Here is an 18,092-nt window from a genome sequence, read left to right on the forward strand (position 1 = left end):
GAACAGAGAACCAAACACCGTATGTTCCCACTCATAAGTGGGAGCTGAACAATGAGAAGACATGGACATAGGGAGGGGAACATCACACACCAGGGCCTGTTGGGGGTGGGGGGCTAGGGGAGGGACAGCATTAGGAGAAATACCTAATGTAGGTGATGGGTTGATGGGTGCAGCAAACCACCATGGCACGTGTATACCTATGTAACAAAACTGCACATTCTGCACATGTACCCCAGAATTTAAAGTATAATCAAAATAAATAAAAGAGAAAGCAGGATTTAAAAAAAAAGTTAAATATAAAAGGACATAGGCATTACAAATAAGCATATAAAAAAAAAGACCAGAAAGAGCCCCACAAAATAAACAATTGTGTTAAGATAGAACATTTAGTTAGGGCTTATTTTTCATCTTTGATAACTATTTTTAATCTACTATAGTAATATTTTCATAAACAGTACTTCTTAATAGAGAAAAATAAAGCAAATGACTTGTAATTTGATTAAACATGAAAAATTAACTCAAGGCTTAATTTCTTTTCAGTTACCTCTATGCTCAGAAGAGCTCAGAACATTTAATAGTTAGCATTCTCAATTCCTTACTTTCTGAGAAATGGCAGGAGCCCCAGTATGAGCCATTAGCCAAAGACACAAGTATCCTGTCATGTAATGAATCAGCAAGAGTTAAGTGATCACTCCAGGTTGCCTGACTTTCATCTGGATACCATTTCCATGCAGGCAGACTTCTTAAGTAGGCCACTACAGTACAGTGACAGCAATAGTAGAAGTAACAATAATAGCTACTTCATTAATTAAATGCTTACCGAATCATAAGCAACATAATTATATTGTCTTATTTAATGCTTACTCCAACATTATAAGCCTTATAAGCTATTTAAAATTTTCATTTAATAGTCTAGGAAATGACACCTCAGAGAGGTCAAATAATTTGCCAAATGTCACAGCTAGTAACGTAAGGTCTGCTCAGTTCCAAACCTAATCACCATGCTGCCCTGCCACCCAGTAGAGGGTTCCTGAAATTTGTGGTTACAGAAGCCCTATTTTTCTGATGCTTGAGGGGTTGAAGAAAAGAGGGAGACACTAGAACTTAATAGACCGAGGCAGAATTTTCTTTCTTCATACCTAAGGGGATTTGGAAAAATGCTGAGCATTCAGCATAAAGAGACTCCAAACACAACTCTCTGCTAACCTACTGGGAACAGATCTTAAGTCTCTGGACTGACTGGGATCTTGCCTATATAACTAGTCATCAGAGCCCATTTTTCTTTTCTACTGTATATTCTTAGCCAGTGTTACAGTATAAAACATGAAAAGGGAATATCAAAAGCTATTCTAGGAAAACAGGCTGTCCTTTCACACAAATGTTATCCAGAAAGGCTTCATGCCCACGTTGAATTTCATTTCATGTACAACAATCCCTTAACCGCATCTGAGAATGTCGCATCATCTCTCTCACTCTCTCCACATTCTCAACAAGTTATTTTACCCTTAAAATCAACAGACCAAGAAAGAAATGATCCTGGCGAATCAAGAAGCAGCTATTAATATTTAAGAGATGAGAATCCCATAGATATAGCTGGTTGTGTCTGAAATTGTTCCCTTTGCAGATATGTACCCTACACAAGGCTCCTTCCTTGGGTACCATTGCCTCAGAGGATCGATCTCCCTAACTGTACTTTTGCCTCTTTAACTCATTCATTCTGGCTTGCCTCCCACTGTACTTCTTTCTTTCATTCAAGCCTGGTGTTTTATCTCCTGCTACCCAAAAGGTTGTCAGAACTGCTACAAACCGAAGGGCTTTCATCTTCTGCTTGTCTTCACATACCTGCCATTTATAATAGTTTAATCTGACATGGCCCACGGTGCCTCTCATTCATGAGCTAGCATTTCCAGACACAAACTCTCGAGGGAAGAACCCTCAAAGAGGTCCAGAAGCAACCTGATTCCTGTTCTATCTTCACTTGTCCTCTTGGGACTTGACACTTTAGACTGTCCTTTCGGTTTTCTACCTTCACTGATGCTGTCCAGTTCCCCTTTCATAATCGGTCCTACCTCATACCTTTACCCATTCCTGGTTCCTGGACTTGCCCTAGAAGGAAGTGTTTTAACACTCAGATTAGGGTTCTGGATTCTCCTTTTGGTCCTTGCTCCCCAGGGATCCATGCTTGTAACTGTGGCTCCCAGGTAGTTAATTCTTTTATAGCTAAGGGTGCTTCTTTCTTGGTAAACTGAACTATGTCCTAGTTGCCTCAATCTGGACCTTTGGTGTCACTCTCTGCTGCCCTCCACCGGCTACCAGTAGAATGCAGTAGTTAGAAATGGGTTCCAAGGCTTTTCCTTGGCCTGTAAGGGTCCTCTAGTAGAAAGCTACACAGTGCAGTTAACGAAGATGAGATTCGTGTTCAAAACCTAGCAGTTTTCATTCAACCAGTACCACTACAACAGCCTCTGATACCACTGCTACTCCCAGGGAAATTCACTGGTAATGACTCTCCTGTCCCTTCTCATAAAGATGTGATTGTCTCAAAAACTTTCAAATTCCATGTTTGTGGATATGCATATTCATGCTGTATGGTAGAGGTTAGGGAGAAACCTTCTGAGTTCCTCAGGCTTGGTTTGTTGGGAGAAGCAGAAAGTAGTGCAATGCCTCAGGCTAGACAGGCAGCAAGGCGTCTCACAGGTTACCTAGGTCCCCTATGATACAGCGTGAGAGGATTGACAATGCTGTCTGTGGACTAAGGTAGCAATTGCTAGGTGGCTTACTATGTTATGCTTGTTAGCTCTTCACTCAAAAGCTGAAATGGAATGGAACCAATGCCTTCAAACTGACTGACTTTGCTGTGAGGCTATCTAGAGTGATGCTGGCACCACGTCCACATCAAAAGTTACAGTCATTGTTCTACTGAAGCAGAGGGGTAGGAGAGTTGTCAAAGATTAGACTGACAGTTCTGTAAAAGGTCATTCTAACACCTAATGGAAAGGGTGTTCTATTAGGATGGTGCAAAAGTAATTGTGGTTTTTGCCATTAGTTTCAATGGCAAAACCGCAATTACTTTTGCACCAACATAATATACTCTGGTGGAACCTCTAAGTAGTAGGGCTCTGCCTCCAAGGATGAAGCGGAAAGTGCTGGGCAAGCCAGCGTTTGGTTAGACTGTGGCAATATGGGTTGAAAGCAACAATGGAAACTCTTAGCCTGGGAGGCCCATGAGTCAGAAGGCCAAACCTCATTAATTTTTCATGGGGAAATATGTCAAAAGCCTGGTATTTTATCTCCTGCTACCCAAAAGGTTGTCAGAACTGCTCCAAACTGAAGGACCTTCAACTGCTGCTTGTCTTCACATATCTGCCATTTATGATAGTGCCTGTCATTCATGAGCTAGCATTTCCAGACACACAAACTCTCCAGGGAACAACCCTCAAAGAGGTCCAGAAGTTACCTTTCTACCACATACAATTGTGCAAAGAACCAACTGTTTGGGGCTTACATTGCTACTAAGTGGGTGTGCTTGCTCTCTGAGGAAAACCACAGTGGAGTTCATCAGCCCTTCCACCTTCCCTTCAAGGACCCCTTCCCCATTAAAATAAAAATAAAAAGGAGTCTACCTCTCATAAGACTACCATGGTCTTAGTGTGGTTATCATCTACTACGAATACTCCCTCTCCCCTGATTCCTAATCTCCTGAAACAATTCCATGGGGACTTTTAGGAAGTTAGACCCCTGAGGTGCTAAAATGATTTTCATAGTAAGAGGATAATGAATAGAAAATGGCCTTCCAAACATGCTATGATGCCACTTGGCCCATTAAATTTTGGTCTTTTCCTGGTACTTAAATGACATCTTACATGATTTTCTATACCAAAGATTTCTGCTCTGTTTGGATATTATTTCATGAGGTCCTGGTCTGCCAAATATGAACTATTTGTTAAATCAAAAAATGCCCTGAGGTAGAATTTCCAAACGCACTTCCTCCCCAGTTAAGAAGCTGGTATGAAGTGAGATGAAGTCTTGGCAGTTCTAGAGCAGATTCTCCTCCAATCAATTAAGGACATTCTAGCAAATCCCAGAATTTGTTACATATTACTGGCAATTCCTCCTACTAATTTCCTCTGATGGCTCTAGTTACTAATGTCTCAAGCAAGGGAAGGAGATAGATCTTTTTTGCAGAGACTACTAAAGCATTCCAGAAGCTGAAGACTTTATTCATCTGTGCCCTATCCTTGCATATGCTGATCCAGCCTTTGCTATAAAGTCAAAGTTCTAGCTCAAATGGAGCCTATTCTCATGGTGTTCCTTCTTCTATTTTTCACAGAACCATCCCCAGAAGCTGTTAGCTCTCCCCTACCCATACTTAGGAATAGGAATTATTTCCTGTCAGAGCTTCCTTTGATGCTGGAGGTATCATCTTGAAGGTTACAGGCATCTGTCAAAACAACTTGGGCAATACAATTTTAGCAAAACGACCAGAAAACTCTGCTTCCAAAAACCAAAGGACCATCTTTTGAAGTTGACCATCTTATTTATGTTGGGCTGCTAAACCACAGCTAAAATGTCTTCTCTGAAAGTCTGTGTATCTGCGTACAGCAGAGTTGGCCTTGCCCTAGAGATCTTGCCAGAAAACTCTATAGCTGTTTCCTAAAACGGAACTATGGCACCAATACAAAAAAAAAAAAATCTAGATAAAGTGACATCCCTTGGAGCATCAGGCCACCTGAAGAGAGACTATGGGGAGAAGAGAATGTTATACAAGAATGCAAGCTCCATAAAGGTAAGGGCCTGTTTTATTCACTGCATTGTATCTACTACCTGGGCTAGGCACAGTGTTGAATAAATGAATGAACATTTCCTGATTAGGGAGGTCTATATCTATATCCAAGTGCTTGCTGTGGCTATGTCAAGATCTGAAATATGGTCTGCAGGACATGCAGTGGCTCTGCATCTGCAAAGAGATCTGTGCAGGTGGTCTGATAATACTATATCTTCTTCTAACCACCAAATGCCTTTGGGATATGATGACCCTGGATTTCATTTCTCATCTGCCCTCCTCATATATACATGCTACTCTATCAGTGGTACAGATAATCTCTTCCAAGATAATGTACTTTATGGCTTAACTCATTCCTTCTAATCCTATTATCCACAACAGTCATAGTAATGACATCTTCTAATTCCATGAGTTATCAAGTTATTTGACTTCTGACTATGGTATAGATGGCTCCCAGTTTTATAGGCCATTATTTGACATCACATACAATCTGAAGGTCAACAGAATATTTCAACTGAGCGCTTGGAGAGTATCTCTACTGACAACATTACTGGTCCGTACACTTCCCAACTGGAAGGTTTGCAAACAACTGTATTTTCTCTACCAAGAATATCTTTTCATAAAAACTTTCCCCTGCTACCTACCCCCACACTTCTCTTCATCAACTGCTCAGTAGCTGTTCAGTAAACACTTGGGAAAACTACAGTTCATCTCCCAAAACCCAAGTTATATTCCAGCAAGTTCAGGACCAGTATTAAGTACATGTGGGAAATGGCTTCCTGTTAACAGTTTAATGGTTATAACGAAAAACAGAAGACTGACATCTCTGACCTTTTGAGATATGGGCCTGCCCCACCCCAGCCCCACCTCCTATGAAGCCTCCTAGTTAGGGGACAGTTTAGACTGGTTATGGTAAAATATTAAAAAATAAATCCTATGGACTACATGTCTTTTTGGTATATTGCTGTATCAGAAAACAAAGATCAGCTTCTGATATAAATGGGTTTTCTACTGAGGCTAAAATACAAATAATTATTAAAGTTAAGATTTTTTCCTATGAGTCACAGCAGTCAAGCAAAGGGGGGAATGTTCCTTCTAGGAACACATAATATTCACTAGACTTGGGCAATTTGATTTGAAAATCAAAATTTTATTGAAGAGGATCATGACAGGATGAGAAGTAGGAGGGGCAGTTCTACATAGTTAAGTTCTTGAGTTGTTCTCAAGTTTTCCTAACGGGTGTTAACTAACCAAAGGTACGGGTTTTACCTCTATACCTCTAAAAGGAATAGCAGCAGTATTTGTTCAACATCTCAAAAGAAACATGCAACTATTTCTCTTAGGTCCTATAGTTGTTTTCAAGGCAGGTTAAGTGTCTGCAATGGAAATGCACTGTGTTTACTTTAGATTGTAGGTTAGAAATTGGGGAATAACTGGCCTAGAGGGAATATCAACAGCTCAATCTAAAAAAAAGCCCTAGATATCTTGGGATGGCTTGCTGTATGAGAGTCGTTGCCAGCAAGCTCCATTCGCGAGATCTGATGCAATGTCACAACCTAGTTCATTCAGCTTTATAAAAACTTAAGTATATATCAGAAGTAAATAACTGTTGGGGCCAAGGAACAGAAAATAATGGGATGTTACTAAGAAAAGGAACACCCTCAAGCCTTTGACCAAACATGGAAGGTAAACTATCATAGATTAAATAAATAATGCAAACTATTATCCAAGGAAGTTAAGAAGCACTTACAATGAATGTGAATAACAGAAATGTGAAATGTTTCAGGGTAGCCTGTAAATAGTAGCATTTAATGAGGAGAATAGATAGGACATAAAAGAAGAGGTATATGAGGAAGACAAACAACAAAAAATAATATGAGAAATTAAGAAATGGGGATTTAAAGAGATCAGCCTAATACTTAAAAGAGAAAAGACAGTCTAGATCCTAATTAAACTAACATACAAAACACCCATGTTTTTAAACAAAACTTAAATCTGCTATTTTCTATGCTTTAAATATTTTCTTCCCTTAACAATGCTTGACTTTCAGTGTGACTCTTCACCTTTTCCATGAAATATTTTATAGCTACTCAGGCACACATAGGCCTCTCTACTTCACGGCCTCTTTTTGCACTTATAGGTACAAACTTGCTCTTCATTTGCATTGTTTATATATGTCTTATAGCTCAACTAGAGTGTAAATTGGAGTTTATGTCCCTGTTTCTTGAATTTGGACTGGACTTGTGACTAGCTTCAGCCACAAGAATGTGGTAGAACTGATGGTTTGCTAGCTCCAAGTGTAGGCTTCAAGGAGTTTGCGCATTTCCTATTGCTTTCTTGGAACTCTGCCAAGATGCCATGTAAATAAATCTAGGTTAGGTTGTTTGTAGATGAGAGATCACAGAGAGTAGAAAAGAGTAGTCCTAGCTAAAGCATGCTAGACCAACCAGTCCCTAGCCAATCTAGCAGCAGACCTCAAAGTATGAGTAAGCCCAGCTGAACCTACCCTAAATTGAGAATCTGTAGAAATTTGAGCTTCATAAGTAGTTCTTGTTTTAAGCCAACATGGGGTAATTTATTTTGTAGCAAAAGTCACCGAACTAACTGAAACATACATAATGGCTTCATCCTTCAATGTAGTACTTATCACAGTGTGCCTTATATTAGAATCAGGAATTTGCTGGTCATTCCTTTGCTCCCAGAGGGCACAGATTATACTATATTCATTTGTGTATTCCCACAACACTTAGGTTGTGATTTGTACACAGTAGGCACTTAGACTTTGATAAAATAAACTGAAATGAAAATCAAATTCTAGTGTTGATCAGCATTATCTACTTAATGTTTAACCATGGAAGAAAAATATAAGCCATGCCACTGTTTAAAGAATAAAGTAAGTACTGAGAATCTACTATTGGTCCTTTATTATAATTCTCAATTATGAACCATTAAAGGTCAGCACTTGGTGTTTACATGCCACTTCAAGATAGCTAATTAAATGAGCCTTTAAGCTACCCTTCTCAAAATTCAGCATTAGCCCAAATTTGGATTTTGATGGAAATATACACATATATTTGATTTTTGCATGAGAAGTCATACTGCAATCCTACTTATAAAGATAGAAAACACAAAGTGTTAAAGAAGGGGATTTTGATTTGTACTATCTAATTCACGATATTATTAATAGTAGGTTTTCCAAACTCAGAAATCTGACAAATGAGGTTTAACTTATTTGTACTTTAACTCTGAAGTGCCACACAAAAGTAAAATATCTTGAAAGCTTGTATATTCAAAATGTCATTTCTCTCTTTCTCTTAAGAAGTAGAAAAGTGAGAATAGGACAAGTAAAAAAGGATGAATAGTTTTGCTATCCGCATCTAATTTGCTTCCTAATGAAATTCTATAACTTTTAAATGACCGTTATTATAGTCTATACAAAGATGATTTCATCAAATATTCCACATTTTGAATACTTTAAAATTATTCATTAAATTGATACTGTCTGAAACTCTCTAAAGCAAGACACTGTGGAAGCATGCTCAGAATACACATATAAGACAGCAAGGCAAATACACTCAATGACGGTAAAAGAATATCCTTGCTGCACTGCACTGGGGGCAGATCCTCTTCTTACATGAGTGTGTACCCTATAATTTACCTTAACTTGGGCTTCCTATTTAATATTTTTATCTTTGGCTTATTAAGGACATAATGATTAATTCAGTTAAGCTAGATAACTGACTCAGGAGGTCAGTTATAGGTTTAGATAGGTCATTATGTAATGAAAAAAATCTGTGTTCTTAATAATATGTCTGAAAGAAAAACACCGACCAGTGAGAGTAGTATTCAGTTTTGGTCCATAAAATCAACCCTGTAAGGACTAGATGAGAAATAGGTAACAATGTGACATGTGAAAAAGACTCAAATACTAGCAAATAGGAAGCTCAATAAATGATGAGTAGGAAGCCCATTCCTCTAATTGGGGATGCCCAAATAAAAATATAAAGATTTAAAGGGTTAAGGTTAAGTGAGACAGATTTTAGCCAACTTAAGAAATATCTTTCTAGTAATCATATTGTCCTAAGGTGGAACTTGCTGCTTTAGGGTAGTGGAACCTCCTCAAGGAAGATATTCAATCAAAGTCTGGGGTGCTGTACAGGGATTGAAGTATAAAGCCAAATGTTATACTACATAATTTTTGAGATTAGCCTCCAATCCCAAAATTCAAAAATTCTATTTTAGAAGCCTAAATATTTAAGAAAACATAGTCCCAGGTTTTCTGTTTAGAGTTTGAACATCTCTGTAGTTCAGAAGCCTCCTTTTAAAATGATGCTCACTTTAAATAAGTTCTGAGAATGACTAAGATGAACTGCAAAGAGAGAAATATTTTCAGCACAGGATGTGGAGAGATCATTTTTTTCACAATCACTCAACCTACCTGAGGTCTACTAATAATGAGCTACAGACCAAGAACTAAAGAAGTTTTTCAAACAATCTAGGTTAGAAAAATTATCCCTTTAAGCTGCTTCAGTAGAGACAGGTATAAGTAGAAATTAGGTGACAGATTGAATAGAAAGAGGCATACTCTTTCATTACCAGTAAAATTTTGGATTTTGGGTTTCTACTATTAAAACATTATAAAAGCAACTCTGGGAAGAGAAATGTAATAGAAAATAGGAACTTAAGCATAAATGACAGTGCTCACTGAGAGCTTACAAGTACTTGCACATTCATTCCCGACTCTGATCCACCTTATTTTGGCTGTGCTTTCTAACTTACTCCCTTAGTTAACATTTTCTGTGAACACTAGTTCCTTTCCATAGGGACCAAAACCACAAACTAGAGAGAATAACCATGCTTCCTTCTCATGAATAGTGAGAATGGAAACATTTTTCCTTGGTTGTGTTTCTCCAGTGAAATTCAATTTCTACTTTCCAAGAAAAGCCAATTGGGTTAGAAGTTTCTGAGAAGAAACAGGAGGGTGGGAGGGAATCCAACAGATATCACTCCACAAACCCTAAACCAAAATCCCAATCTTTCAATCTTACATCAGTCAAGGGATTAAAACCTGAATGTCTCAGTTGAGTTGCTACATCTACAGGTGGAAGGTCTTAAGTGTGGGAAGAGATTGTTCCATTTGTGATCATGCTGGTGAATCCTTAATGTGCAAGAGAACCCCCACCTTGGCCCCCAAATATTAAGTTGACACACGTTTCTGGGACACAGCCTGAATCCTCAAACTTTGGCAGGTCTATAGACACACAATTTTCTGTTTTCTGCTTAACAGTGCTTTCCAGAATTGTCATCAGATGACAGATTACACCACCCATCTACAAGGATTCAGGGGTAGCTCAGGCCATCCATTATGGGTTAAAAGCTGTTCCAGCATGAATCGAATCACAGTGGTAAGGAACTACCGATACAAGGGGTCCTGCAGCTTTAAGAAATACCCTGGGCATCTAAAAGTTTTCAGAATGCAAACTATGTCAGCTCTGAAAACAAGAGGCACTGCATCATTATGGCAGGAGAAACAAAGCCAGCCCCCTTTTTTAAACAGACAAAAAAAAAAAAGATTGTTTTAATAGGAAAGAAGCATCAGTCATTGATTCTTACTTCATTCACACTTTCTATCCAACCCCATCCATCTTAAGAGTGAAGAGATGACAGAGCCCAGTTAACTCTCTCCCTCACTAGGCCCCCGCTCACCCTGTTCCCTATATCCAAACCACCAAGGCCTACCAACCCACCCAGTTCAATCTGCAAGAAACAGTCCTATAGAATGACTGGTTCTATCTAATGGGCTTCCCAAAGCTCAGGTATGCCCAAGTATCAGCTTTCATCACATTACTTTAATAGGGTTAGCATCACTGGTCCAGGCCTTTTCTAATCATCTTCAAAAACGACCACTTAGTTACCCATGGCTGACAACATTCTACAAAGGAGGAGGCGGGAAGACTTAAGGCAGCAGGAAAAAGTCAACAAACCAACCAACAATCCAGAATGTAAAATATTTCATTTTTCTTAAATGCTGCTGGCCACATTATCTACAAACAAAACTTCTCCAAGCAGGCAGTCTCTGCATCAGTGCACCTGCTTAGCATTGGTTTGCTGAGTTATCTTTTTGCTATGTCTGCAAAAGCCAACAACAGCACAATGGGTCGCATCACTTGAGGGTCACTTGAGTCCCTCTACTCTGGGTCCCTCCTCCCACCCCCGCCTTCCCTTCTACCCACAAAACCTTTAACTCCACCATAGCTAAGGATCCCAGATAGCTAAATAAAAGAGGTGGCCTCAAATACAGGGAAAACCCTTAGGTCTCCAATGTGAATCGCCAACGCCAATCCCCCTCCCTTCCCCTTTTCCTTAAGACCTGATGGTCTTCAGTCACACATCTTAAAAGAAAAACAAAAAACAAAAACACAAAGACTTACTTGTCTCAAGTCGATGAAGGCCAACTGCAGCGTGTCCTCCTGGAACCCAGGCACCGGGCCGGATCTGGCAAACTCTGTGGGAAAGAAAAGAGGATAAAAAGCGCCTTTAACTAACCATGGACAGGGAGATTGGCAGACGGATGACAGGGAAGACAAGAGAAGCTGGGGGAGAGGAGGACCAAGCTTCTAAGGAGTCATGTCTCTCTCCCTTCAGCTTCTTTGTTTGCCCTTCAAAATTCGTGTCATCAAAACACCATTAATTCCAGCATCCTGACAGCAAGGAAACTGTACTAATTCGACCTGAAATTTATTCCCATGAGCTGCGCTGGGCTTCAGAGTATTTGTTTTGTGAATGGACAAACAACTTGCAAAGGAGGAGGGAGTGGGGGAGAGAAAAAAGTTTTTCCTCTCAACACAATAAAATCTTCAGCTGTGAAACTCTTTTCAGTTCCAAAAGCTATTTATATTTTAGATCGCTGAAGGAATTTTCTAATTTCACGCTTGTCACCTCATTCCCCAAGCATTTATCAAAAAATATTCCCTGCTACATCATTAATTATTCCCTCACTGATTATTTGTATTATCTCATGACTGCATTATTGCACACACACACACACACACACACACACACACACACACACACACACACGCATCCCAGAAGCAGAGGCTATCCCAATCCATGACTTGGCTTTTGAGCAAAGGAATATTTACAGATATGAAAAGGTCCATCTGAATAAACCTCACTGCAAAACTTAGGGAACATTTGCACATGTCTGTCCTTCTAGTGTATTCTTTGTCCTTGACTTCTACTTCCATTCCACTCTCAAAAATTCTTTCTTCTCCTTTCTCTACCCCAATTCAATCTTAGCCTGAAGAGATTACATGAATACTATTTGCAATTTACAGTGGCACCTTGGGTACATGCTCAGTTTATGACTCTGGCTTCTATGTCGTTAACAAGAAGATGGCTGTACAGGGATATAAGGACAAAAACTAGTAACAGTTAAGAATGTCAAATTTTATTGTCCCTGAGCCCTGCTTATTATGAAATCAAAAGGTCTTAAGTTCCCTATACACACACACATACACACACACACCAAATTCAAAAGTTGGACAGTTATACTATTATTCAATTCTTTCTATGAAGCCCGTGGCCAATCTCCTATTTACCTCAAAAACAACTCAAGTGCCTGTTCAAAGCAAATATGAAAAGGAACGTTTTCCTTCAAATTATGCTTCTATCCAGTACTGAATTTAAGAAACTATACAGAGTTGGTATCATATTCTTCTTTTGCAATCAATAAAATCTATCAAGATATTTGCATATATGTCTAGAAAATTACTTCCAACAACTAGTGGCTGGATAGATCCAAATGGTAATTTGTTGAACAAGGGTAGGAACTTCTGTTCTTTAAAAATATTTTCCATTTGGGGGCTTCTCAGACATAGCATTTCATAAAACCCTTGCCCCACTTTTAAAATTATGCTAACAACTTAGTTTGCAGGAATTATGAGAACATTATACAAAATGAAATTTAAAGCAATTTATTAAACTAATTAAAATATAGCACAGATGTATTAACAATATACACAATTCTTATTTTGACATTTAAAATTAAAAATGCCTCATTTTTCATTTTAATGAGATAAATTATATGGCATGCTTGGCAGTACTAAAGTTTCTATTTGCTTTGAGAAGAAAATTCAAATGCCATATATAAATTAATTCTATCGTATATTGCCCAAGTGATAACACTTTTTTAAAAGAGTAAAATTCTGGCCAGGTGCGATGGCCCATGCCTGTAATCCCAGCACTTTGGGAGGCTGAGGCAAGTGAATCACCTGAGATCAGGAGTTTGCGACCAGCCTGACTAACGTGGTGAAATCCCGTCTCTACTAAATACAAACAAATTAGCTGGGCATGGTGACACATGCCTGTAATCTGAGCTACTTGGGAGGCTGATACAGGAGAATCACTTGTACCTGGGAGGTGGAGGTTGCAGTGAGCCAAGATTGCATTATTGCACTCCAGCCTGGGCAACAAGAACGAAACTCAGTCTCAAAAAAAAAAAAAAAAGTAAAATTCTAAAACTGTATGAAGATTTTATGAAGGCCATGTTAATAAAAAGCTTGATATAATCCATTGTTTATATCTACAATAGCCAATATCTGTGATAACCTTGTATACAGGAGCTATTTGAGTTAAATGTACAATTTTCCTATACTATGCTCCTGTTAATAGCAATTCTTTGAATTACAGCCACAGCTATTCTTTTTGACTACTTGGATTGTTAGGTGATCAGCTAAAATTAGCTTCCCATACTTGATGGTTTCTTCCAAGGATGTTGGATTATCACACTTGGCATTGCATAACTCAAGTCTATGCTGTATCACTTGAAGCATCTGAAGACTTCTCTGTCAGTTCAAACCCTACTTGTGTCAAATGGCAGCAACTATCAAGATGTTCTGCCATCCTATATATGTCCAACTCAACAGAATCACCCACCTGAATGCTTGGGAGCTGGCTACACATTCTTGAATCTCCTTATTGGGCATGCTCCCTGGGGCTAATAGATTAAGCTGATGAAACAACTTAGGAATCTGGATGTGATACATATTTAGTTTTCGGAGTCACTTTATGGACCTCATTTTTATGACACACTGAATCTTCCAGGTTCCCAAAGGATATAATGGCCTTTTAAGTTTGATTGCCCCTTTTATAAATCAAGGAATCAAAGAATGACAGTTGCATCAGGTATGATAAAGTAAAGAAATTAATTTTCACATATAGTTTATGGAAATGTTTAATGACTATATATTCAACTTCATATTTGTATTTTTTCTCATTGCTTTATGTATATAATTCTTGTCTTCCCACATAGATAGCAAACTCCTTAGGGATAAAGACCATTTCACAAAACCAAACATCCACTCAAAATAGTAGATGTTCAACCAATATTGTGTTTTAGTTAAATAAGTTACACAAATAGCAAGATTCATTGGGCACATGTACTCTTCACTGCCAATGAAAATCTCTGGATTATAAGGGGTCCTTAATCTGAGTATCAATAAACAGGCTTTAGGAATTCATGAGCTCCCTAAAATTACATGCACATTGATTAAGGGGATGGACTTTGGAGCAATAAAAATCAGAATTTGAGCCCCAGCTTTCCACTTAGTAGCTCTATGGGCTTACACAATTTACTTAACCTCTTTACACTTCAATATCTTTATCTCAAAAATGAGGATAATACAGCATTCCTTACAGTGCTGCTATGAGGATTAAACAGAATAACACATGTAAAGCAGTTGGCAGAGTGCCTAGCATAATTGAGTATCATTATAATTAGTTTTTTAGTGTAAATATGAATTTCTCTGCACAGAAGGTTCATAGCGTACACTGAATTCTCAGAGGGCTGGTAGCTCAAAAAAGGTTAAGAAACACTGTTCTATATCAAGAACAAAACATAAGAAAAAATTCAGCTATGGCTCAGTGATGAGTTAGTGAGTTGGCATTGCAAACTTATTTATAGGCACTATTTAATTACTTCATTTAAAGGAAATTGATATTAAGTATTAGTGTTTTAGCTACAGCATAGCAATTTTCATTAGTATTGTTTTAAAAATTTAATAAATGTATAAAATAGGTATTTTGTAATTTTGTGACTCAGTATGCCCTGGGAAACATGATTAACTTTTTACATATATTAAAAAATGTTAATAGCATTAGAAAATGTGAATATTTTTTAAAATATAGGAGACTTTGTATACGGTCTAATTTCAACTATATAAAATATAATACGCACAGAAAACATGATAGTAAGCACTCACTTCATAATGTTACCCAAGGCTGCTACAGACAGGAAGGTTATGAGGGTGTTTTTTTTTCTTCTTTATATTTTATAAACTTTGAAAATAAATACAGACCACTTTTATAACCTGAGAGAAGGAAATGGAAGAACACACACATACACATACACATACACATACACATACACATACACATACACATACACATACATACACATACACATACACATTATGTAGTGAAGCTCATATTGCAGTACTTTCCCTAGTAACAAGAGATATAATTTGTTCAAGATTTAGCATTATTGGCAACTAGGATTGGTCTGTAAACCCAAATTCTCAGATGCTGCTTGATAGAAAGAAAAGAGGAAAACTACCACATGAGAGAGGGGCAAGAGGCTCCCAGACTCTTGTAATATGCTGATGCATCCACAAATTGATTATATGTACACACAAGAAGCCTCTCTTTAGAGCTGTTAATTAAAATTGTCCTTCTTTGACATAATAAAAAGGGGAAATACATGCAATTTTGGCCAAGCAGAACCAATGGATACATAGGTCACAATGGAAATTCGCTTTGTGGACTTATCTTTGCAATCCAGAATTTTTAGTAGGTTTTCAGTATCTAAGTGATCCAAGCCAGCACCAGAGATTCTGAAGCATTGGCAAGGAAAGCAAGGTACTTGCTCCACTCAATGCAGAACCAAACCCCACCTTTGACCAATTCCTGTTACTGGGAGACTGAATCAAAGTTCAGTGAGACTAGCAAGGTGGCTTCTTCTTGGGAAACTTGTTCAGGATAGGAGAGCCTCTGACAGGTACCAACCCATTCTCCAGAAAGCTTGGCTCTTCCCAGCAGTTCTGCCCTGCCCCTGTCCAAGCACGCATGGTAGAAACTCACAGAATCAAAGCTGGTATCAGGACCTGACTCCAAGATACCATTTGCAAATGTGCAAAATCTTTCAATGAGGAAACTGCCAATTCATTTGAAATTTATGAAGGAAACATCTTCACTTAAAAAAATTAAAAGGAGGTATACAAAATAGCAGGAAAGAAGGTATATTGTCAGTAAATGTATCAGAGGAGAAAGAAAATCACTAATATACTTTACTTGCCAAATATCTAACTCTTCATATTCTCATACACACAAATATATATGAGATATGGTAATTATTTTTAAAAACTATTAATTTTTCAAAAATATGCTATAATTTTATATTTCTAATAATCTTCACATTATAATGAAGTTACCAGAGGGGAAAAAGGAAGGATGCCACCCATTTCAAAGTGCTTTCTAGACTTCTTGAAGGCTGATCTTAAAATTAACAAATTCTGTCACTTAGTCGAGGGGAAAGAAAAAAATTAACTTTAATTTGGTATATTCATACTTGGCTGAAGAAAGCAACATATATAAAAGAGCACAGAATACTAAATTAGAATAAAATGGTAGAGTGAGAGTTAGGAGGGGCCTTGAGAAGTCAAAATAACTGAATTAGTCTATAATCTATCTACATATATAGGACATTTGGGAGTTTATCAAAAGAAGTCTGTGAGAAAAAATATAAAGCTAATTTTTCTAAATCTTTGCAAAATGCCATAGAACAGGAAGAGCTTTCAAAGGAAGATGAACAAGGAAAAATCTATTTCAGAAAAGCAAAACTAGCACAATGTCTGGCAAGTATGTAAAATAGCAATTTTGGGAGAAAAAATAACTTGTTCAAATAAGAGGAAGGTGAAAAGACAATCTGCAAAATGTTAACAAGAGGGTCCTAGATAACATCAGTACAGTATTGTTTCCAGTAAACTTCCAGTTTAGACAATGGACACGATAGCATCACCTGCTCTTGCTGAATGGATTAGGGATTGGTTTTGGCCAAAATGCCAGATAAGTAGGGAAAAAAAGCATAAAATCCTAAGCTATACTGGGTACTTGTTTATAATTTAAGATCATGTTAGGTCACATGTGTTTTTTCGTGGGAATGAAAAAATAAGAGCTGTTGTTGCTGTATTAACATAACGGTTTCCTGGTATCTGGCTCCCTGGAGCAACAGATGAAGGGTGTGCTAGACTATGAAGTGTCTAGGGAAGCCAAGCCTTCTTGCATCACATCACAGTGGTTCCACTAAGCTAATTACAAACAGGAGTTGATGTACTCCACAGGGAATCCAATTCAGATCCTACTGGTCAGAGAAGGGACGGCCAGAACATAAGGAAGTAAGAACGAAGGGAGAACAATGTCAAGGAGAGAGAAAAGGAGGAGGAGGTGGAGGTGGAAGGGAAAAGCTCCTTGGAGATTCATCTGAGTATACTTGTCTAAGTATGCTTGTATGGACATGTAATCATACAAAATAGATACCATTAATTATCTAGGGTATGACTGTATGATGTAAATTATTCTTTGCGTTTTTATAATTTAAATATGAAACTCACTAGATCTCCAACTTCGAGAAAGACAGGGGGCTGTAGGACATTGTGCCTATAATGAACAATACTGTATTGAATACCTAAAAATTTAAGAGGGTAGATTTCATATATGTGTTCTTACCACAATTTTAAAAAGAATAATATCCACAAATCATGTCTGACAAAGGACTAGTATCCAGAACATGTAATAAATTACTACAATAGACTCGTGTTAGCCTTAAGGACACAATAGACTGAAAATGAAAGGATGAAGAAAGACATTCTATGGTAACGATAATTAAAAGTATTGTCTTATATCAGACAAAATACACACTTTTTGGTAAAAATCTGTCACAAAAGACAAAGAAGGTAACTATATAATGATAAAGGAATCAATTCATCAGGAGGATATGGACCTAACATTGGAATACTTAATATATTAAGCAAATATTAACAGAGCAGAAAGGAGAAATACAGCAATACGATGACAGGGGTCTTCAATACCACATTTTTAACAGTGGATAGATCATCCAGACAGAAAAGCAATAAGAAAACATCAGACTTGAACAACACTATAAACCAAATGAGCCTACCAAATATATAAGAACATTCCACCCAACAGTAGTAGAATATATATTTTTATCAAGTGCTCAGAGAACATTCTACAG

At 37.8% G+C, this 18,092-nt stretch overlaps 1 protein-coding gene across 10 annotated transcripts in view; it reads right to left on the reverse strand.

Moving 5' to 3' along the window:
• The window catches only part of EXOC6B (exocyst complex component 6B), a 650,050-nt gene that overhangs the window by 147,749 nt on the left and 484,209 nt on the right, over window positions 1-18,092 (reverse strand). For 9 of the 10 annotated variants that reach the window (NR_135774.2, NM_001321734.2, NM_001321733.2 and 6 more), the window contains one exon: window positions 11,215-11,288. The exons of the other annotated variant lie outside the window; for it this stretch is intronic. Coding sequence is in view for 8 of the 9 variants with exons in the window: in NM_001321734.2 (NP_001308663.1) it covers window positions 11,215-11,288 (74 nt within the window). In the remaining variant the exon portion in view is untranslated. The remainder of the gene's footprint in view (window positions 1-11,214; window positions 11,289-18,092) is intronic. 10 annotated transcript variants of the gene reach the window in all.

Source organism: Homo sapiens, chromosome 2, assembly GCF_000001405.40.
Source record: "Homo sapiens chromosome 2, GRCh38.p14 Primary Assembly".
NCBI classification, from domain to species: domain Eukaryota; kingdom Metazoa; phylum Chordata; class Mammalia; order Primates; family Hominidae; genus Homo; species Homo sapiens.